The 23,581-nt window shown below is 38.6% G+C and overlaps 1 protein-coding gene across 2 annotated transcripts in view, besides 1 other annotated feature; it reads left to right on the top strand.

Annotated features, from left to right (window-relative positions):
• The window catches only part of WAPL (WAPL cohesin release factor), an 86,537-nt gene that overhangs the window by 41,708 nt on the left and 21,248 nt on the right, over nucleotides 1-23,581 (top strand). For both annotated transcript variants that reach the window (NM_001318328.2, NM_015045.5), the window contains exons 5-12: nucleotides 6,112-6,207; nucleotides 7,321-7,473; nucleotides 7,741-7,877; nucleotides 8,982-9,093; nucleotides 12,579-12,806; nucleotides 18,798-18,909; nucleotides 19,589-19,686; nucleotides 21,020-21,096. In NM_001318328.2, coding sequence (NP_001305257.1) covers nucleotides 6,112-6,207; nucleotides 7,321-7,473; nucleotides 7,741-7,877; nucleotides 8,982-9,093; nucleotides 12,579-12,806; nucleotides 18,798-18,909; nucleotides 19,589-19,686; nucleotides 21,020-21,096 — 1,013 coding nt within the window. The remainder of the gene's footprint in view (nucleotides 1-6,111; nucleotides 6,208-7,320; nucleotides 7,474-7,740; nucleotides 7,878-8,981; nucleotides 9,094-12,578; nucleotides 12,807-18,797; nucleotides 18,910-19,588; nucleotides 19,687-21,019; nucleotides 21,097-23,581) is intronic.
• Nucleotides 17,592-18,198: an enhancer, noted in NCBI's record as "OCT4-NANOG-H3K27ac hESC enhancer chr10:88221644-88222250 (GRCh37/hg19 assembly coordinates)". NCBI's record gives its function as "activates a minimal SCP1, AML or CMV promoter by ChIP-STARR-seq in naive H9 embryonic stem cells {active_cell/tissue: H9 hESC(naive)}" and the evidence as "EXISTENCE:reporter gene assay evidence [ECO:0000049][PMID:30033119]".

Here is a 23,581-nt window from a genome sequence, read left to right as displayed (position 1 = left end):
ACAGATGCTGTTGGTTTTAATTTAGGAGTTTCTGTAGTCTTCCTTCAAATAATTCAATACTCTGGATATTTAACATGTGTTATGTTTTTTATAGTTTAAGACCATTTGAGATTGTATGATTATGCTTAAAAGGAAGTTGTAAAGAGCTCAAAGATTCTTTGTAAGACTTTTCTTCTCCTGCTTCTGATTCCAATTGTCTTTTTTAAAGGATTTTTATAAATCCTTTAAAGAAATTTTTGACAATCCAGATCCAAATTGTTTTTTTCTACTTCCCCCTTTTGAATTGCCGCTAAAGTACTGTGCACACATACACACATAGTTATGCATTGCAGTACTTCTTCAGAGTTCATTTAGTTGTACTTCGTGCTGATTGATTGAATTACTGGTGATATCCTTGGGTGGATAAAGCTGGATGAATTCTTATCAGCTTACTATTTTGTCTTCATATAGCACATAGTTTTTAAAACGTATAAATAAATTTGCTCTTCTTGTTCATAAAGTATTTATGGCTTAAAAACATTCCTTTTTTTTGGCTGTGCGCTGTGGCTCACGCCAGTAGTCCCAGCACTTTGGGAGGCCAAGGCAGGTGGATCACCTGAGGTCAGGAGTTCAAGACCAGCCTGGCCAACATGGCAAAACCCCATCTCTACTAGAAATACAAAAATTAGCCAGGCGTGCTGGCGCTTGTAATCCCAGCTACTCGGGAGGCTGAGGCAGGAGAATCGCTTGAACCCGGGAGGCGCAGGTTACAGTGAGCCGAAATCACACCATTGCACTCCAGCCTGGGCAGTAAGAGCGAGAAACTTTGTCTCAAAAACAAAACAAAACAAGAACAAAAGAAACCCATTCCTTTTTTTCCTGGCTTTTATGAGCCAGCCCAGTGGGGGATAACATGTCATTTCCTCTTAGATTTTCAGGAAGGAATGCTTTCTTTCCTCTGTTTTTGTTGTTGTTGTTTTGTTTTTTTTGTTTGTTTTTGTTTTTTTGAGATGGAGTGTCACTCTGTCACCCAGGCTGTAGTGCAGTGGTGCAGTCTTGGCTCACTGCAACCTCCATCTCCCAAGGCTCAAGTGATTCTCCTTCCTCAGCCTCCCGGGGTAGCTGGAATTACAGATGTGTGCCACCACACCCGGCTAATTTTTTTGTATTTTTAGTAGAGATGGGGTTTCACTATGTTGGACAGCCTGGTCTCAAACTCCTGACCTCAAGTGGTCTGCCCACCTCGGCCTCCCAAAGTGCTGGGATTACAGACGTGAGCCACCACGCCCGGCCTTTTCCTCTGGTTTATAGTTGTGATTCAGTAATCCAGTCTGTTAACAACAACCTTTGTGGTGTTATTGTAAAAACCAACTTTTATCCATTGTTTTTATAGAAACTATATTATCTCTCATGAAGAAATGCCCCATCAGTTTGTCAGTGGAATATTTTTTCTTTAGCTTTAATGGAATGTCACATTTGAGGTTTTTCTTGCTTATGCCCCTGGAGCACTGAATACAAAAGAATAATATATTTAAGATTACTAGTATTGAAATATGCTAAAATGGTTCTGAATATTTAGAATGTTAGATTATTATTATGAACTTTTTGCTTATTTTGTTCTAAGTATTTTTCTCATTAATTTACCTAGCACACAGAATCCATCCTTTTTTTTTGGAGACAGGATCTCGCTCTGTCACCCAGGCTGGAGTGCAGTGGTGTGATCTTGGCTCACTGCAGCCTCCACTTCCTGGACTCAGGAGGTGATCCTCCCACCTCAGCGTCTCGAGTAGCTGGGACCACAGGCACGTGCCACCATTCCCAGCTAATTTTTGTATTTTTTGTAGAGACTGAGTTTCACCGTGTTGCACAGGCTGTCTCAAACTCCTGGGCGCAAGACATCTGTCTCCCTTGGCCTCCCAACTTGCTGGGATTATGGGTGAGAGCTACCATGCTTAGCCACAATTTTTTTTTTTTTTAATACAGAAAAAAGTTTAGGTATCTGGTTTATATGCTGTATCTGCTTTTCTTTCTTTCTTTTTTTTTTTTTTCCGAGACAGAGTTTCGCTTTTGTTGCTCAGGGTGGAGTGCAATGGCACGATCTCAGTTCACTGCAACCTCCGCCTCCCGGGTTCAAGCAATTCTCCTGCCTTAGTCTCCTGAGTAGCGGGGATTACAGGCACCTACCACCATGCGAGACGGGGTTTCACCATGTTGGCCAGGCTGGTTTCAAACTCCTGACCTCAAGTGATCCGCCCACCTTGACCTCCCAAAGTGCTAGGATTACAGGCGTGAGCCACTGCACCCGGCCTGTATCTGCTTTTCTGTTGCCCAGGCTGGAGTGCAATGGTGCAATCTTGGCTCACTGCAGCCTCTACCTTCTGGGTTCAAGCGATTCTCCTGCCTCAGCCTCCCAAGTAGCTGGGACTACAGTGCCTGCCACCACACCTGGCTAATTTTTTGTATTTAGTAGAGATGGGATTTCACCATGTTGGTTAGGCTGGTCTCCAACTCCTGACCTCAGGTGATCCACCTGTCTCGGCCTACCAAAATGCTGGGATTACAGGCATGAGTCACGGTACCTGGCCCTGTATCTGCTTTTCAAACAAGAATAAAATTAAGAAGATTAAAGACAAGCCTGGTGGTGCAATCAGAATGACTCTGTTAACATTTAGCTAGGTTGCTAAATGGTAAGGGTGATTTTTGATTTTCCATGGAAAGTTGATTGCTGTATGATACTTTTACATATATTGTACACACAATCACTTCCACTGAGTGAAATTAGCCTGTGACATACCACTGTTTTGTGCTTTACATACACAGTTCACTTAGGAGCATGTGGAATTACTGTACTGTTTTGGAATGATGTAAAGAGCTCAGTCAGTGTTCCCTTTTCTCTCTTTCCCTGTTTCTTCCTCTCCCTGCCATATGTGTATGTTAGCCATATACAGATATTACTTATTTTAATTTTTAATTAGATGTGTCTTCAATATCTCTCCTCCCATAATAAACCCTATATTAATCTTGTAAGACACTGAAATAAAAGTCAAGAAAAAGTTCTAATTGGACTACTTCCCTTTAGATTGCTTATTAGTATTAAAATGGTAAAACATCATCAAAAGCTTTAAAACTAATAGTATTACTAAATTGCCTTGTTCAACAGCATAACCAAAAGTTCCTTTAATATGACCTTTTAATATAAATTGTTCAATTATTCTGTATGCTGTTATGCTTCAAGGACTTTTGAGATGAATAGACACATCAGTTATTCCATTTGTTTATCATATTCTTTATTAGGTAGGTAGGCTATATATTTCTGTTTTCTTACGAATGTGTTAGACTTAAACCTAGCAGCACATCATCACATAACAATTAATAATAACATTTAATACTTACAAAGCACTTTTTTTTTTTTTTTTTTAAAGACAGTCTCGCTTTGTCGCCCAGGCTGGAGTGCAGTGGCGCAATCTCGGCTCACTGCAACCTCCACCTCCCGGGTTCAACTGATTCTCCCGCCTCAGCCTCCTGAGTAGCTGGTACTGCAGTTACTCACCACCATGCCTGGCTAATTTTTGTATTTTTAGTAGAGACGGGGTTTCATCCTGTTGGCCAGGCTGGTCTCAAACTCCTGACCTCAGTCGATCCGCCTGCCTTGGCCTCCCAAAGTGCTGGGATTACAGGCGTGAGCCACCACACCCGACAGCACATATTCTTTCAGGCACTCTTACAGTGTTTTAATTTTTTGAGACAGAGTCTCGCTCTGTCGCCCAGGCTGAAGTGCAATGGCACCATCTCAGATCACTGCAACCTCCGACTCCCGGGTTCTAGCAATTCTCCTCCCTCAGCCTCCCAAGTAGCTGGGACTGCAGGTGCCCACCACCGTGCCCCGCTAATTTTTTGTATTTTTAGTAGAGACGGGGTTTCACCGTGTTAACCAGGATGGTCTCAATCTCCTGACCTCGTGATCCGCCCGCCTCAGCCTCCCAAAGTGCTGGGATTACAGGCGTAAGCCACCGTGCCCGGCCTAGTCAGTGCTTTTTAAAAATAATTTCTCTTTTTGCTTCTTTAATTTCTTTAATTTTATTTTTTGTAGAGACAGGATCTTGCTTTCTTGCCCAGGCTGTTGTGAACTCCTGGCTTCAAGTGATCTGCTTCCTGCCTCGGCCTAGAGGCGTGCTGCAATTACTGGCATGAGCCACTGTGCCTAGCCCAATCAATGCTTTTTAAAAAGAAGTAAAATGCTTGAGCTTTGAGGCACTCATTCTTGCCAAAAGGCTGTTGTTACCAGAGCCTGGGCTCTGAGTATGCTTGAGGTACTAAAGGTAGTTCAAATTAGGGATCCATAACTAGCAGACACACAAGTTACATAGCTGGTCTTTGAAAAGAATGGAAGGAATAGAGAGGTTGGTTTTAAAATTTATGTTCAGTCCACTTTATGTGTTGTGTCTCAGGAAGCCAGATCAAGTCATTGCATGAGTGCATAAATTGTTTCAGATTGCTAATGCATCATCATGTTATGCAAACCTGGCATTTATGAATGATGGGTTTGTGTACACAATCCAAATGAGAATTTTTCCACTTTATTAGAGATAATATATTAAAAGCTAACGATTAGTTCACACTAATGCTTAATGCTAATTATGTTGCTTCAGTGCAGCTAGTAAGGGGATATAGTTAAGTTTTTTAATGTAGATTTTTTGACGGTCTTGAAGTATGATTTTCCACTTGTCTTCTTATTTTTGTTGTACTGAAAATAAGATGTGTTTCATAAGAGAAAATCTCTAATTTGTCCAAACCATGTATTTGAAGTTCAAAACATAATTTAACGTCACTTTTGTAGAGGATAGAGAGGATGAGGTGTTACCTTTCTATTTTGTCTTTGTAATTATGCAGTTTTCTCTTGAAAGTGAGGGTTTTGTTCTTTTACTTGATTTGATTTTGTAGGTTTACTGTCATTTATTCTCAATTCGGAAATTCAGTGTTAAAACTGAAAATCCCCTGGAAGTTTAAGTAAATTGATAGGGCAGCACAATAACCTCAATTGATGTGTGAGGGACTTTACATCTTTGTCCTGCTTAGTGTAACATTTTGCTGCAGAAATCATGTATGTTATTACATGGTACTTTTTTGGATCCCACTGTGTCTTGGAATATGTGGTATATGTATTATATTTACCTTGATAAAATTTGAGAACTCTTGAGTGGTGGCACACAGCTGGCTGCAGTGGTTTGCTTTAAATGAGCGCATTGTCTGTCATAAACTGCTGGATTCCCATTGTTGGAAGATTGTGAGGCATGAATTGGTAGTAGGAAGAATAAAGTTTTGCCAAAGAACCCATTGAACTATTATTATTATCATCATTACTATTTTTTAAATTTTTTTGAGACGGAGTCTTGCTTTGTCACCCAGGTTGGTCTTGAACTCTGGGGCTCACCCAGGTTGGTCTTGAACTCCTGGACTCAAGTGATCCTCCTTCCTCACTCTCCCAAAGTGCTGGGATTACAGGCATGAGCCATCATGCCCAGCCCATGTTGAGTTAAATGTGTTGATTACTTAGTAAGCCTAGCAAGAGGTTTACCTTTTTTTTTTTTTTTTGAGACGGAGTCTCACTCTGTCACCCAGGCTGGAGTGCAGTGGCACAGTCTTAGCTCACTGCAACCTCTGCCTCCGGATTCAGGTGATTCTCCTGCCTCAGCCTCCCAAATAGCTGGGATTACAGATGCCTGCCACCATGCCCAGCTAATTTTTTTTATTTTTAGTAGAGATGGGGTTTCACTATGTTGACCAGGCTCGTCTCAAACTCCTGACCTCAAGTGATCCACCCGCCTTGGCCTCCCAAAGTGCTGGGATTGCAGGTGTGAGCCACCATGTCTGGCCTAGGTTTACTTTCAAGTGCCATCTTTTCTTGGTTAGTCATAGTTGCACAGAGCACTAATTACTGATTTTGTGACCTAGTACTACAGTGATTATATTTGCCATAGACATGAGAATGGGAATTATGGTGGGACTGTTCCCAGATAGTATCCATCCTGCTGTTTCTAGGACATGTTTATGCATATAAATTATTCTTTATGATTTTTAGTTGAGAGTCTTTTATAAGGATGGAAGCAGTTGATCTTTCTCTCATTTCTCTAGTCACCCACAAAAGCTGTATATAATGCCAGACATTGGAATCATCCAGATTCAGAAGAACTGCCTGGGCCACCAGTAGTAAAACCTCAGAGTGTCACAGTAAGTGAACTGTACTTATTTATTTTGTGTTTTTTAATAAGCTATAAATTAAGCAGTTACTCTTTTAATTCATAATTTGTAAATCTTTGACTTTTCTATTTAACAGTTTATTTTGGCTTTCTTTACTGAAACTTATTAGTTTCAGTTTAATTCATTGGAAAACTGAGGATTGTCAGTAAGATAGCAGAAATTCTAGTGCTGCTAGGTTAAACAATGAAAGCCATAAAAAATAAGGCTCTTGTTACTCATGACCCACATTTCATGGAATTTATAGTATTTAGTGTTTAAGAGCAAGATTGTCCATATTTGATGTTTGTATAAGAGCTATGTTGTGTATTACATCCTATATATATTTCTAAGTGGCTTTCAGTGCTTAATTTGCTTTTCAGAGACAAATCTCTTCCTGTATTCTAGTAATACTTTTCAATCCAAAACATTAGGAAAAAGATTCTTAGCAACTTATTTTCTCCAGAATGACTGGTAATATCATACATGATTTCTAGGTTAACAGTAAAGCTTCAGTCATCTGGAGTTATCAAGTAACTTAGTTCTTTATAACAATAAGAAATTTGGGGATAGAAGTCTTTCTAAAGTATAATGTACAGTTCCCTGTCTTCTTAAACTGATTAGACTCCTTTTGATAGTATAAAGAAATCATTTTGTATATTAGTAGTAATATAGCATGCTCCTGTTATAGCTATTTATTTTTACCCTAAACTACTTCACACTCTTGTGCTACTAAAATTCTTTTGACTCTGTCTGGTTTTTCTGTCCTGTCCCTTTCTGCTTATGAAAGCTATTTTTGCATGCAGTTGTGGTTCTTTAGTCTTTCTAATGGTACTAGAGACAAACGACAAATTGTGTGAAATAAAAAGTTTAAAAAAGACCAGAAGAAATCCTTGAGTGGTTCTTCTGTGTGCAGATATACATATGTCTTACCTGTTAGTGCATGGAATTCAAAGTATTTCTAAAGACCTTTGAGAGGCCTCCCTGCTCCCTGCTTTTTAAAAAGCTTTATTTACTTTTTTTTGAAGCTGAATTTGCCAGATAGATGAGACGTTCCTATTTTTATATATTTATTTAGAACAACTAATTTAATACCTTTATTAATAGGTGAGGCTGTCTTCAAAGGAACCAAATCAAAAAGATGATGGAGTTTTTAAGGCTCCTGCACCACCATCCAAAGTGATAAAAACTGTGACAATACCTACTCAGCCCTACCAAGATATAGTTACTGCACTGAAATGCAGACGAGAAGACAAAGAAGTAAGCAGCCATATACAGTGTTTACTGCATGTTGATAGATTTTTGTATGTAACATTTAGCCATTTAATATCTTCAACAAATATCAGTATACTGATACTCAGTTTTGAACCACAAACTTCTTTTGTCCTACCATCATCCTTGTTCTAAAAATATTTTTGTTGCCATCTAATGAACTATTTTATGCACTTATGTAAAGTACAGTGAGCCCATAGATTTAAATATGCTAGTTCCTAGTTAAAAAGGGGTGAACTTTTTTTTTCTTGGCAGTTATATACTGTTGTTCAGCACGTGAAGCACTTCAACGATGTTGTAGAATTTGGTGAAAATCAAGAGTTCACTGATGACATTGAGTACTTGTTAAGTGGCTTAAAGAGCACTCAGCCTCTAAACACACGTTGCCTTAGGTAAGATCTTATTTTTATATTTTACAATTATGTGCATGCTGTATTAAATTTTTTCAACTAGGTGTTGTCCAAAAAGCCAAACATTTTTTATTTTGTTATGATGGGGTAGTATGTATAGCCAGTGATATGTTAAAATGCTATCCATTTCTTTATAAAGAATTTGATTCTGCATGATAAGAGGGAAAGCTGGGTGATGAGAGCCTTTTTAATATAGCATAGGCTTCAGTTTTCAAGAGCTTAAAAAAAAAAAAAAATTACGCTAAAGCATCTTTTTGCCTTGTGTGGTGGCTCATACCTATAATCCCAGCATTTTGGGAAGCCAAGTTGGGAGGATCATGTGTGTCCAAGAGTTCGAGACCACCTTGGGCAACATAGTGAGACCCCATGTCTACAAAAAATAAAAAATTAATGAGTCATGGTGGCATATGCCTGTAGTTCCAGCTACTTGGGAGGCTGAGGTGGCAGGATGGCTTGAGCCCGTGATCATGCTGCTGCACTCCAGCCTGGATGATAGAGTGAGGTGAGGCCCTGTCTCCAAAAACAAGAAAGAAAAAATTACCAGAAAGAAATAAAGTAAATAATTAAAAAAAAATCTTTTAAGTTCTTTTTACCTCTGATGTTCAAGTAATAAGTTAGATTTATTTAAGCATATTGTGATCTGGACGCTTACATTTGTACCCAAATGCTCAAAAAGATGATCTTTTGTATTTCCTAATGGATTGATTGAATACTATAATTTTGATTAAATTTTTCAGTCATTTGGAGTATATCCAATCAAATATAATTAATTAATTGTGATTTTTATCAGAAGTATTAATGAAAGGCAGCTCAGATTTTAAGCTTTTAATGGTGGTAGTAGTAACGTAAGGAATGCACTAAAGACAATTACGTTATTTTTTTAAAATACAGTGTACCTAATCATGCACTAGGCATCAGTATATTTTTAATAATGTGTTTTGCCTATGGTTTTTATATTGTGATCATGTATGGGCAATGCTTTGACCCTTTTACCCCCTTCCTATTTGCTGGTTTTGGTATTACACAAACTCAAAACTAATGTACTAGCTGTTTCCAGCCCCCCTAACCTGCTCTATTTTCTTGTAGTGTTATTAGCTTGGCTACTAAATGTGCCATGCCCAGTTTTCGAATGCACCTGAGAGCACATGGGATGGTAGCAATGGTCTTTAAAACCTTGGATGATTCCCAGCACCATCAGGTATTTTTTAAGTTTCTGAGATTGAGAAGCCTTATGTTGAAAACTACTAGTCTATTTGGCTATCAAAAATATCTTCACTGAATATTCTATAAATATATCCTAATTATAGATTGAGTTCATTTTATTTGCTAAATTTGTAGTGCTTATGGCCAGAAGCTTTTGCTTAATACTTATTTTATCATGAAAACGTGAAAACATTTTTTCTTAATGTGTCATTTTATACTTTTAAAATTGTATTTTGTTATCTTAGCTAATGTAGTATATTGATACAGAATTTTGTAAGCATAATTTTCTCTATAATCAGAAAGCACTGAGAAGAATCTTTTAATATTATTTGATACTAATGAATGGAAAAAAACTGGTTTGGAAATGCAGCCCTAATTTTTTAGAAACGTTTTTGTCCAGTGTTGAATCTGGAACATGGCCTCATTGTGATAAGGAATAATTTCTTCATTTTCCTTGCCTTTGATGCTTTTGCATAATGATAAACATAACAAAAGTTATTAGGTTTAACATTTTCCAAAATTAGAAGAAAGTAACCATCATTGCTAATTATTAGCATTAGTAGTATTTTGAGATGGCCTTACTATATTTTTGTTAAAGAAATTATGTTCTAAATACAGATTAGGTGATAATTAATTTAATACTGCATCTTCTGGGCTGGGCGCGGTGGCTCATGCCTGTAATCCCAGCACTTTGGGAGGCCAAAGTGGGCAGATCATCTCAGGTCAGGAGTTTGAGATCAGCCTGGCCAACATGGTAAAATCCTGACTCTACTAAAAATACAAAAAATTAGCTGGGTGTGGTGGCAGGCACCTGTAATCCCAGCTACTTGGGAGGCTGAGGCAGGAGAATTGCTTGAACCCGGGAGGTGGAGGTTGTAGTGATCTGAGGTTGTGCCACTGCACTCCAGCCTGGGAGACAGAGCGAGACTCTGTCTCAAAAAAAAAAAAAGAAGTTAGTTTGTTGCTGGGCAAGGTGGTGTGCATTCGTAAGTCCTAGCTACTCTGGAGACTAAGGGAGGATCTCTTGAGCTCAGGAGTTCAGATCCATTTTGGGAAACCTAGTGAGACCTCATCTCTTAAAAACAAACAAAAAAGAGAATTCGTTTGCTTTGTTATGCAGTTAACAGTGAACTTAGACATTACAGTGTGATTTTTAAGGGCAGTGGATCCCCCATGGCCTTTACAATGCATCCTAATTTCCAAAAATAATTTGCTGTATAAACATTTAATCAGACACCTGGTCTGATGCTTCTCTACTTCTGGGGGCTCAAAGTTTAAATCTTTAGATGGTTGTGTTTTCTGTATATTGAAATAGGTTTAAGTACAGAATATCTCAAGTGTTGGAATATCCCAAATGTAAGACCTTTTTTTATATTCACATTTATCTAAAATATTTCACCTTCAGTATTTAGATTGTGTAAGTAGAGTGTCCTGGCCAGGTGCGGTGGCTCATGCCTATAATCCTAGCACTTTGGGAGGCTGAGGTGGGCAGATTGCCTGAGTTTAGGAGTTCGAGACCAGCCTGGGCAACATGGTGAAACCCCATCTCTACTAAAAATGCAAAAAATTACTCGGGCGTGGTGGTGCTTGCCTGTAATCCCAGCCACTCAGGAGGCTGAGGCACAAGAATTGCTGGAACCTGGGAGGCGGAGGTTGCAGTGATCTGAGATGGTGCCATTGTACTCCAGCCTGGGCGACAGAGCGAGACTCCGTCTCAAAAAAAAAAAAAAAAAAAAAAAAAAATTATTTGGTTCAACCAGACTTGATTGTTTTATTTTATTAAGCGATCCTCACAACTCACCCTCCCAAGTAACTGGGACTACAGGCTCCTGCCACTACGCCAGGCTAATTTTTGTATTTTATTTTATTTTATTTTATTTATTTTGAGAGAGTCTTGCTCTGTCGCCCAGGCTGGAGTGCAGTGACACAATCTTGGCTCACTGCAGCCTCTGCCTCCCGGGTTCAAGCGATTGTCCTGCCTCAGCCTCCTGAGTAGCTGGGATTACAGAGGTGCGTCACCATGCCCAGCTAATTTTTTTTGTATTTTTAGTAGAGACAGGGTTTCATCATGTTGGCCAGGCTGGTCTCAAACTCCCGACCTTAGGTGATCCACCTGCCTCAGCCTCCCAAAGTGCTGGGATTACAGACGTGAGCCACTGCGCCCGGCCTAATTTTTTTGTATTTTTAATAGAGATGGGGTTTCACCATGTTGTCAGGTTGGTCTTGATCACCTTACCTCAGGTGATCTGCCCACCTTGGCCTCCCAAAGTGCTGGGATTACAGGTGTGAGCCACCACGCCTGGCGATTGGTTTATTTTAAAGAAATCCAAATATGTATATTTCAGCATCCTGGGTTTATATACAGATGTAAACACAGCTGTGTTTTCCAGGGGAAAAAATGTGTTAAGGGTATGATATAGATTTAAAATTATTATTTAAATTATTGATTTTAAACTGAAATATGACTATCTGCTGTATCATAAAGAATAGGCTGGGCGTGGTGGCTCACGCCTGTAATCTTAGCATTTTGAGAGGCCAAGGTGGGTGGATCATTTGGCCTCAGGTGTTCAGGACCAGCCTCGGCAACATGGTGAAACCCCATCCACAAAAAATACAAAAATATCAGCTGGGCATGGTGGCGCCTGCCGGTTGTCCCAGCTACTTGGGAGGCTGAGGTGGGGAGGATTGCTTGAGTCCAGACGGTCAAGGCTACAGTGAGCTGATATGTGCCACTGCAGTCCAGCCTGGATGACAAAGTGAAACCCTGTCTCAAAAGGAAAAAAAATGAGGTATATCATAATAAGGTTTTTATATATATATACTCACACACACATATCTGCAAAAATGTTTTATAAACTCTTAGCATAGTATAGCCTAAGAAATATGTAACTCAGCATATATTCTTAGAGCTATCAGGCATTCATATATGGAGGATCCATTGAAAGGTAAATTTTAAGCAACAGCATTTTATTTTTTTAAACATGTTTCTTCAGAATATTTTTAGAGAGGGGCCGGGCGTGGTGGCTCACACCTGTTATCCCAGCATTTTGGGAGGCCGAGGTGGGCGGATCACGAAGTCAGGAGATCGAGACCATCCTGGCTAACACCGTGAAACCCCGTCTCTACTAAAAAAATACAAAAAATAAGCTGGGCGTGGTGGCACACACCAGTAGTCCGAGCTACTCAGGAGGCTGAGGCAGGAGAATCGCTTGAACCTGGGAGGTGGAAGCTGCAGTGAGCCGAGATTGCGCCACTGCACTCCAGCCTGGGCGACAGAGTAAGACTCCATCTCAAAAAAAAAAAAAAAAAATTTTTTAGAGGGACCGCTGAATAAAACGTTTTTGAAGTTTCCAACATGGTTAGTAATATAAGTTTTAAGCATTAACTTGTAAACAAAAGTCATTAATAGTCTTATTTCCTGAGATGTCAGGAGTTGCTTACATGAAGTTTTTTTTCTTTTCTTTTTTTGGCCTGTTGAAGAATCTGTCCCTCTGTACAGCTGCCCTCATGTATATACTGAGTAGAGATCGTTTGAACATGGATCTTGATAGAGCTAGCTTAGATCTAATGATTCGACTTTTGGAACTGGAACAAGATGCTTCATCAGCCAAGCTACTGAATGAAAAAGACATGAACAAAATTAAAGAAAAAATCCGAAGGCTCTGTGAAACTGTACACAACAAGCATCTTGATCTAGAAAATATAACGGTGGGTTCCTTCTTCCTTCCTTCTAAGATGAGAATTACTTTCAGAAAGTCTTTGGTTAGTTGCAGTAGCTGTGTGACTGTGGGCAAATTATTTTAATTCTAACCTTGGTTTACAGTTTGGCAAATTTCTTATGTTTAGATCTGAGCATAATTTCATTCCTTGCCTGAACTTCCTAAACTAGTTTATCTGTATTTAGGCTTTTTGCCCAATAAATAGTTGCACATTTTCTGTTGCATTTTGTCTAATCCTTTTCTCTTTATTTTTTAAGAAAAAAAAGGGGCCGGGCACAGTGGTTCATGCCTATAATACCAGCATTTTGAGAGGCCAAGGCAGGTGGATTGCTTGAACCTGGGAGTTTGGGTCCGTCTTGGGTGACATGGTGAAACCCCAGCTCTGCAGAAAATACAAAAAAATCAGCCAGATATGGTGGTGTGCACCTGTAGTCCCAGCTAGTCAGGAGGCTTAGGTCAGAGAAATATCCTGAGCCCGGGGAGTTTGAGGGTACAGTGAGCCGAGGTCGTGCCCCTGCACTCCAGCCTGGGTGACAGAGTGAGATTGTCTCAAAAAAAAGGTAGAAACTACATGTATATTAGGAATTTTGAATTCTTATTCTCCATGGATTTCAGGGATAAACATTTCAGAGGATTTACATCCACCATTTTCTTTTTTAATTTTTATTTTATAATAATAGTAATAATTACTGTTTTTTGAGATAGCGTCTTGCTCTGTTGCCCAGGCTGGAATGCGGTGGTGCAGTCATAGCTCACTGCAGCCTCAAACCCCTGGGCTCAAGTGATCCTCCCACCTCAGCCCCCCAAGTAGCTGGAACTACAGGTGTATGCCACCATATCTGGCTAACTTTTGTATTTTTAGTAGAGATGGGGTTTTCGCCATGTTGCCCAGGCTGGTTTTGAACTCCTGGGCTCAAGCGATCTTCCTTCAGCCTCTCAAAGTGTTGGGATTACAGGCGTGAGCCACCACCCCCGCCATAACTGCCTTTTCAATGAGCAAGCATCTATTTATCCCAGAGTACCTCAGGGTGTCTAACTGCTTCATGGGACTTGAAGAACCCTGAAGACACCACAAGGAAGATTCCTAGGCACCTCACCTCCCCTGAGGTGGTGTTCCTTATAATACAGTCATGGCCAGTGGCTGCTCTTAATGCTCATCACAATGCCCCATGTGTGAGATGGCTATTCCATTTTTGCTTTAGTTCAGTTTTGCCTTCTTCTGGCTTTTTACTTGTAGAATCAATATGTTCCATTCACATATTGGTGATTCCATCCACTTCTAGGCCAGTAGAAGATAATTGGCCTGTGGTTTTGAAAAAAAAGAAAAAAAGAAAAAATAAGTGTTTATTGTATAATAACCTGGTTTTCAGACATTTCCAACATCAAAACTCTATAAACATTTATTATTGTCTACTGTTCACAATGGACAAGTCCATGCAAATGTACCTCCAGAGTCCAAGGAAGCTGAGAGGCCAAAGAGTCTGATAAATCCAGTTTTTTAGAAAGAAACATTTAATAGGGACTTAGGAACAAAAGCCGTATCTGTGTCTCGGGATCCCCATGCCATTACACCCCACATCCGGGATTTATATGCTATATGGAAAGCATAATTCAGAATGGATGTGTAGGGCTATTGCAGTGTACATCAAGGTTGTTTGACATAAGGGCAGGATATACAGTAAGTACCTGATTTTACACTAGGATCAATGGGTAAACTGGAAATTTTAGAGGCTTTCCCAGAACAGATGTTAATCAGAAGCCAGGCTGGGCGGTGTGGCTCACGCCCATAATCCCAGCACTTTGGGAATCCGAGGTGGGTGGATCACCTGAGACCAGGAGTTCGAGACCAGTCTGGCCAATATGGTGAAACCCCATCTCCACTAAAAATACAAAAATTAGCTGTGCGTGGTGGTGGGTGCCTGTATTCCCAGCTACTTGGGAGTCTGAGACATGAGAATCGCCTGAACCTGGAACCTAGGAGGCGAGGCGGAGGTTTCAGTGAGCCGAGATTGGCGCCACTGCACTCCATCCTGGGCAACAGAGCAAGACTACGTCTCCAAAAAAAACCAAACAAACAAAAGACAAAAAAACAAAAGCCAGTGTCTCCACATCTACTTAACTGAAGACTGCAGCATGTGCCACAAAAATTTATAGGATGCTTTGTGCTAGCCAGATGTGACTTAGGCTCTTGCTCTATTCTCTATTTTAATTAAGGTAGAGGTGGTAATAGATTCTGGTTATGGTGGAGGATGGGAGAGCAATTTAACTTTAAACAGCAAGATACAAAACTGACATGTATTCAGTACTTTTCACTTTATAAGATTGTGGAGAGAGGTGTTGTGCCCAGATGGCAAATCAATGATCCTCCATGTCATCACATCGTCTGTATGCTACATGTAAAACTTTTTTTTGTTTGTTTGTTTGTTTTTTTGAGACGAAGTCTTGCCCCTGTCACCCAGGCCGGAGTGCAGTGGTGTGATCTCGGCTCACTGCAGCCTCTACCTCCCAGGTTCAAATGATTCTCATGCATCAGCCTCTTGAATAGCTGGGATTACAGGCGTGTGCCATCACGCCCAGCTAATTTTCTTGTATTTTTAGTAGAGACAGAGTTTTGCTATGTTGGCTAAACTGGTCTCGAACTGAACTCAGGTGATCTGTCCTCCTCGGCCTTCCTGGGATTACAGACATGAGCCACTACGCCTGTCCAAAACATGTATAATTTTTATTTACTTCTGTATTTTTGCAGTGTCTACTGATTTTTTTCATGCTATAAAAGAATAAATTTGAGCCTATAGTTTTTATTTGCCTGCATAGTTGGATGAATATGACTTTATTTTTTTGTCTTCTATATTCAACATTTAGATTCATTTCAGGTATGCTGTTAAATAACATGATAAACTTGATAATTGAATTTGTCTTATGTTTTGTTGAATTTATTAGGATGATAAATACCAGAATAAAAACTTTCCTACACTCTATTAAATAGTTTACTCATATGATTAAGCCAGAGCACACTTGTCAATTTTAGGATTCCTCTTTTCCCCACTAATGTTAGCTGTCCTTGAATATTTTTGTTTTAAATTGTACAGTAGATTTACTGTGTTGTTTTGTACAATGAATATCCTTTACACGTTTTTGTTACTAGTTGCTTAATTTCTTGAATATATTGGTATGGCTGATGTGCCATGAAAAGATAATTTAAAATAGTAATATAGTCATGCTTTGCTTCATGACAGATATGCTCTAAAAATGCATCGTTAGGTGATTTTGTTGCTGTGTGAACATCAGAGTGTACTTACACAGACCTAGAAGTTATAACCTGCCACACATCTAGACTATGTGGTACAGCCTGTTGCTTTTAGGATGCAAACCTGTATAGCATGTTACTGTATTGAGCACTGAAGGCAGTTGGAACACAATGGTGGTAAAATTTGTGCATCTAAACATAAAAAAGGTACAGTAAAAATATGGTATAAAAGATTTAAAAAGATACACCCATATGGACACTTACCATGAGTAGAGCTTGCAGGACTGGAAGTTGCTCTGTGTAAGTCAGTGAGTGAGTGATGAGTGTATGTGAAGGCTTAGGACATGACGGCACACTACTGTAGACTTGATAAACACCATACACTGGCTCCCAAAGTTTAACTGTTGACTCTTTTTTAATAACACTTAGCTTAAAACACAAATTGTATAGCTCTACAAAAATATTCTGTGAGCTTTTTTCTGCTTTTAAAATTATTATTTTTTAACTTTTAAAACTTTTTCTGTTAAAAATGAAGGCGACACACACACGTTAACCAAGGTCCACACAGGGTCAAGATTATCAATATGACTGTCTTCCACCTCCACATCTTGTCCCATTGGAAGGTTTTAGGGGCAGTAAAACAGGCATGGAGGTGTCATCTCCCTTGATAACAATGTCTTGTCTTGGAATACCTCCTGAAGGACCTGCCTCGGGGGTCCCCCCCACTGCCTTGAAACTCTCTGGCTCTGTCAACCTGGCTGGAGTGCAGTAGCACGATCTCAGCTCACTGCAACCTCCACTTTCTGGGTTCAAGTGATCCTTGTCTCTCAGCCTCCCAAAGTGCTAGGATTACAGGTGTGAGCCATCTTGCGGCCTGTTCCTCTTATTTTCTGATTAGTGATTTGGCTGTGCTTTAATTCTGAGTACTATTCCAGTTTTCAAATAAAATGCTTGATTAGTAGGCTGTTTTTAAATGCTAGCTTATAGTATACTGACTATAGCCTAAAATATCAAAGAATCCTTTTTATGCCAATAGAAACAAAAACAAAACTTCCTAAAAAGGCTCGAGTTTTAATTATTAATATCAAATTACCATCACCTTTCTTCTAAACAAAGAATGCCTCATTAGGCTTCAGCTTTGCCTGTATGACTCATGAATTAACACACACGAACCAGTCTAAATTACTCTTTGAGGGACAGAATGAAAAATGGGCACAATTGTATCTGTTTTTGTGGTATTGGATTCTAGTTCTATATTTGTCACCTTGGAGAACAACTCTTTTTTTTTTTTTTTTTTTTGAGACGGGATCTCACTCTGTCGCCCAGGTTGGAGTGCAGTGGCACAAATCTTGGCTCACTGCAACCTCCACCTCCCGGGTTCAAGCAATTCCTCCTGCCTCAGCCTCCCGAGTAGCTGGAATTACAGGCACCCACCACCACGCCCAGCTAATTTGTGTATTTTTAGTAGAGATGGGGTTTTACCATGTTGGCCAGACTGGTCTTAATCTCCTGACCTGAGGTGATCAGCCCGCCTCGGCCTCCCAAAGTGCTGGGATTACATACAGGTGTGAGCCACCGCACCTGGCCGAGAACAACTTTTTTAAAAGAAGTAGATTAAAATCTTCTAGATCTTTTCTAAATGTGCAGTCTTAAGGTTTTCACTGGTAATATCTGTTATTTGTATTTCTAAATATCTAATTTATGTGCATTTTTCAAATAGACCTGAAGGACTTAATGTAAACTCTCATCTTTTGAAGGGGAGAAACTTAGGGAGAAAAACCAGATCTTGTCAGTCTTTGCTAGTTAAAGCATTTCTTTTGTTATGCTGAAGTTCTTTATTGCAGCAGGAACCAAATTGCTCTTTGTTGGGAAGTGGCTGTCTGCTTTAAAAAGAAAAACAACAGCCAAAGTGAAATAAAGGGCAATAAAAACTTTACTCAGGTTGTGAGTGTGGCTCTTAGCTTTTGTACTCTTCTGGTGGTGGTCCTAAAGCATTATTTGTATACAGTTTTGTCATCATGGCCACATGATGAATATCTGAGCTGCTAAGCCCGCAGTATGCCCTTTAAAAACTAGTCAGTCTGCAACACTAAAGTGAACAAAGGATTTGTATGCAGAATAGACAAAATACACCAAATAATAAGAAAAGACAATCAGTCTTGCAGGAAAATATGGAAAGAATAATGAACAGGAGTCTCATAGTAGAAACATAGTTAATATGTGAAAAACTGTTCAAGGTTACTGTCGTTGTAAAAATACAAACAAAAGCAGTATGTTACCATTTTGTACCCTCAGACAAAAATGTTAAGTGATAACTTGTACTTTTGAAGATTCAGGGCAACTGGCACTCCCACACTTTGCTCCTGAGAGTGTTACTTGTTAAATCCATTGTGGTAAATTAATCCAATATTGATTTACAGTTAAAAAATACATGTACCCTTTGACTTAGCAGTTCCACACTTGACCTGTATACTGTAGAAATAAGAGTACCTATATATATGTATAATATTAAACTGACAAATGATAGACTAATAGCACATTTTCTCTATGAAAAGCTGGTTAAAAAACTTTGTTCAATGTGGACTATTCTGATAAAATTGAAAATTAGTTCAATTTTATGTATAAAAGTGGTGTTAAACTACATGTAGCATGCAGTAAATTTTTGTAAAGAGAAACAATTTCTAGAGTTATTGCTAAAAGTTGATATTCATTAATGATGCTTCTGGTTTTTAGACTGGGCATTTAGCTATGGAGACATTATTATCCCTTACTTCTAAACGAGCAGGAGACTGGTTTAAAGAAGAACTCCGGCTTTTGGGTGGTCTGGATCATATTGTAGATAAAGGTATGATATTTACATTTAGAATGTTTTTATATATTATTTAAAGCCTGAAGAAAATACTCCATTGACGTACTTCAAAAAATAATTGTATCAGTTTGGAAATGTCTATTATCATTATTATTTTTTAGTTGCATCCTGCAAATTTCTAACATTTAAAGAAGAGGCCGGCCGGGCACGGTGGCTCATGCCTGTAATCCCAGCACTTTGGGAGGCCAAGGCGGGCGGATCACCTGAGGTCGGGAGTTTGAGACCAGCCTGACCAACATGGAGAAACCCCGTCTCTACTAAAAATACAAAACTAGCCAGGCGTGGTGGTGCATGCTTGTAATCCCAGCTACTTGGGAGGCTGAGGCAGGAGAATTGCTTGAATGTGGGAGGTGGAGGTTGCAGTGAGCCGAGATTGTGCCATTGCACTCCAGCCTGGGCAACAAGAGCGAAACTCCATCTCAAAAAAAAAAAGAAGAGGCCATTAACATTTTGATATTGGGGGATTATGGAAACAAAATAATTACAGAGTATGCATTTCAAAATCTCACAGTATGAAACCTAGAATAAAAAATGTTCAGAGAGGTTCCAGCATGTTCATAGCGTGTGTACAGATGGCTTCTAATGTTAGCTAAAAGTATTCTATTGGTAAGTATCGATGATAAATACTAACTTACGTTTGTTTCTTTTCACCTAGTAAAAGAATGTGTGGATCATTTAAGTAGAGATGAGGATGAAGAGAAACTGGTAGCCTCACTATGGGGAGCAGAGAGATGTTTACGAGTTTTAGAAAGTGTAAGTATGGATGACTATTTGGCAAAAATTATTCAGTCTTAATTGTGATTGTGTGTGTAAGAGAGAGACTGCCAAATATTTTATATACCCCTGGAGGTTCACTTCTGTTAATCCAGATAGAAATAGCAGTACATTTTTTGAGCAACCAGTTGTTAATAAACAAGCTAAATGAGTAGTTTTATATTTTAAGAGTACATGTATTATTGCTGCAAATGAAATGTTAGGCTTGTTTGTTTACATATGCCAATCTTTTTTAAAGATTTTATTATTTTTATTATTATTTTTTGAGCCAGAGTCTCACTCTGTCACCCAGGCTACAGTGCAGTGACATGATCTTAGCTCACTGCAACCTCTGCTTCCCGGGTTCAAGCAATTTCATGCCTCAGCCTCTTGAGTAGCTGGGATTATAGGCATGTGCCATCATGCCCTTCTGATTTTTGTATTTTTAGTAGAGTCGGGGTTTTGCCATGTTGGCCAGGCTGGTCTCAAACTCCTAGTTTCAAGTGGCCTGCCGGCTTCAGCCTCCCAAAGTATTGGGATTACAGGCGTTACACTTTGCTGGGCCCCTCCAATCTTTATTGTTTTTTCCTTAATGTGAATTTCTACTTGACTACATTGTTTGTAGATAACAATAGTGAAATGCAATCAGGTTTTATTTTTAAATTGTTATTAGCATTTTGTTTATTTGACTTTTATTTGAGTCAGATTGTTTATAGGCATGGCCTGTCATAATATTTGGCTTTGGAGAATGATACTGTTGAACTGCAGCGAGTATATTTTGTTCTTTGACTCTTACGAAAGACTTAACCCAGTTCCGTATAGATTAGAATTTATACTGCCAGCTAATTTCAGGATGCATAGGTTTGTTCACCAGGTTATTTTAAAAGTAGTATAGTATAAATTAAAAGCTCCTGGCATAGATTAAATTGTAGCGTTCCATGTGTCTTCTAGAGTGCTTTGGGCACAGTAGATAACAGATACTTCTTTGTAAAAATGTGTTCTAAATGAATCTACTTATGAACTTTACGTTATTTGTAAGTTGAGGACTGCTCTATTCTGACATTCAGTGTGTTTGGCAATTCGTTACAGTGAATATGTAGTGTAGAATATGTTAATTATGAATGAATATAACAGTGATGTCTTAATTTTTTCATAAAGCATTAGCTTTCTTATTTTACACCTGGAACCTGTAGGTTGTGAAATTATTCCCTTTGGTAACAAGGGCTGTTTCTTCCTCATCTTTGTATCTTTTACGCACCAGGCAGAATGTGGTGTTACATGAATGAATGAAAGTTTTGGATTGCCACAATTATTTCATATTCTTCCTTTTTAGGTAACTGTGCATAATCCCGAAAATCAAAGCTACTTGATAGCATATAAAGATTCCCAACTTATTGTTTCATCAGCTAAGTAAGTTTTTTGTTTATTAGTTAACAACTAACATTGTTACTTATTTTAAACATTTGGATTGACCATAAATGAAAGAAATTTGGATTAGCTTCCTCCATGAAATGCTCTGTTGAGTTCTGTGAATTGGTTCACATTGTGTAACAAAAGTTTTAAGAGTACAGATTTTGGACACAAAATGACAGTGTGGATTCCAGCTTGATAATTTCAGCTGTATAACTTTTGTAATGTACAAATCAAGCTCTTTACAAGGGGGATAATAATAGTGGCTAACCCACCTAGGATTTTTATTACAGTAAAATGAGTTAATTTGTATGTTTGTAAGAAATATATACATAGTAGATATTTAAAAATATGTGTATATTAAAAATACATATAAAAAATTTAAATTTAAATGATTTTTAAAGTATCTTTTGTATCATTTGTGATACATATTAATGAGTTAAATTAGTTAATGTGCAAAGCCTAGAACAGTACTTGGCGTATAGTAAATACTAAGCATTTTTCCTCATTCTTGTTTTAAATGGACTTTTCTCTGTTCTTCTGCACTTTATTTAGACCTGTTTTTCTATATCTGTATGTAGCTTCTTCCATTCCACATTTATTTCTTCCCACATTTCATCACAATTAGGCTAATGCTGTCACCTCCTTGCAGGTAAAATTCCCAAGTATGTCTCCAGTCCTGGTTCTGTCTTATTACAGCAACCTCTTCCTGATATCTCTGTCCTAGTTCTTGATATCTGCCCTAGTTCTCTGGCCTTTAGCCTATCCAGAACAATACCACATGGAGTTAACTTTCTCCAAATCGCTGCTTTGAAAAAATAATTTTAATTTCTCAAATCTCTGATTCCTTATTGTCTTTGGATATATGTACAACTTTCTTATTGAAGTCAGCCTTATCAAAGGCCCATTGCAGTCTTACTCTAGTTTATCTGTTTTTTAACCTCTTATTTTGGAGGAATTCAAATATAAATAGTGTAATAAACTGTAATGTACACATTATCAATCATGGCCAGTCTGGTTTCCATCTGTAACCTCATCCATTCCCTCTCCTGTATTATTTGAAACAGATCCAGATATTATTTCGTCCATAAATACTTAAGTACATAATGCCTAGAAGAAAAGGACTCTTTTAAAAAATATAACCCCAGTGCCATTTTCATGCCACACATTATTAGTTGCTTAATATTTTATGTTTAGTCAATATTCTAATTTTCAGTAGTCTCAAATTTCTAGTCTCAGTAGATTTTCTTAATCTGTAGGTTTTTAAAATCTCCTTTTTTTGTCTTGGATTTGTACGTTTTGTATCTTGCATTTGTATATTTTATTTTTCTTTATTTTATTTTATTTTTTTTTCTGAGCCCAGGCTGGAGTACAGTGGCATGATCTCGGCTCACTGCAACCTCTGCCTTCTGGATTCACATGATTCTCCTGCCTCAGCCTTCCGAATAGCTGGGACAACAGGTGTGCGCCACCACACTTGGCTAATTTTTGTATTTTTAGCAGAGACGGGGTTTCACCATGTTGACCAGGCTGGTCTCGAACTCCTGACCTCAGGTGATCCACCCGCCTTGGCCTCCCAAAGTGTTGGGATTACAGATGTGAGCCACCGTGCCTGGCCTATTTTATATATATTTAGCACTCTCTTTTTTTTTTTTTTTTTTAATAGATACAGGGTCTTGCTATGTTGTCCCAGCTGGTCTCAAACTCGTGGGCTTAAGTGATTCTCCTGCCTTGACCTCCCAAAATGTTGGGATTACAGGCATTAGCCACTGTGCATTGCCTGTATTTAGTGCTCTTACCGCATGCATTCTGGTTGTTTGCTACCATGTTTTTACCCTTCCTTACCAAAGATTATTGAAGTTAAATGTTTCTGATTTCATTTTCTTTTTTAAATTAAGAAAAATTGTGTATGTTGTTTCTGATTTAAAAATATCTCTTTTGTATACTTCATAACCTCTGACAACTACCTTGTAAGAGGAAGTATTTGATATGACAGGTGCTCTTTTGTTGTGATTAGGAAATTCAGGCCAAATGTCTTGGAAGTGGCAGTAGAGGTCAGAATTGAGTGTTTGTAAAAGAGCACTTATCTCTAGGTTTTTAAGCTTTTCAGCAGAAACCATGATCAATTCGGAGATAGCATACAGAAAGATTAAATAACATATGCTGAACCTCCTTTTGTCTTCAAAGCCCCAGTTTAGCCCAGCCTGAAAACAGTTGAGTTACCAGTGACAGTATGGTAATCCTGACCAGCATTCAATACCAGAAGAACAAATTATTTTAGGTTAGACATGAGGAACACCTTCCTGACCAAAGGGTTGTAAAATATTAAGAACTTTTACAGAACTTCCTCAGTATGTTTTAAAGGGCAACTAGGCGTAGATTAGATACGGTTTCTTTAAGAATTTTGTGTGATATATAATGCATGAAGAATCAACTGACAGAGTGAGCTTACTTGATTTGTATTAAACTTAAAAATCGTGGACTT

Source organism: Homo sapiens, chromosome 10, assembly GCF_000001405.40.
Source record: "Homo sapiens chromosome 10, GRCh38.p14 Primary Assembly".
NCBI classification, from domain to species: domain Eukaryota; kingdom Metazoa; phylum Chordata; class Mammalia; order Primates; family Hominidae; genus Homo; species Homo sapiens.
This window is presented reverse-complemented; position numbering and strand designations above follow the sequence as displayed.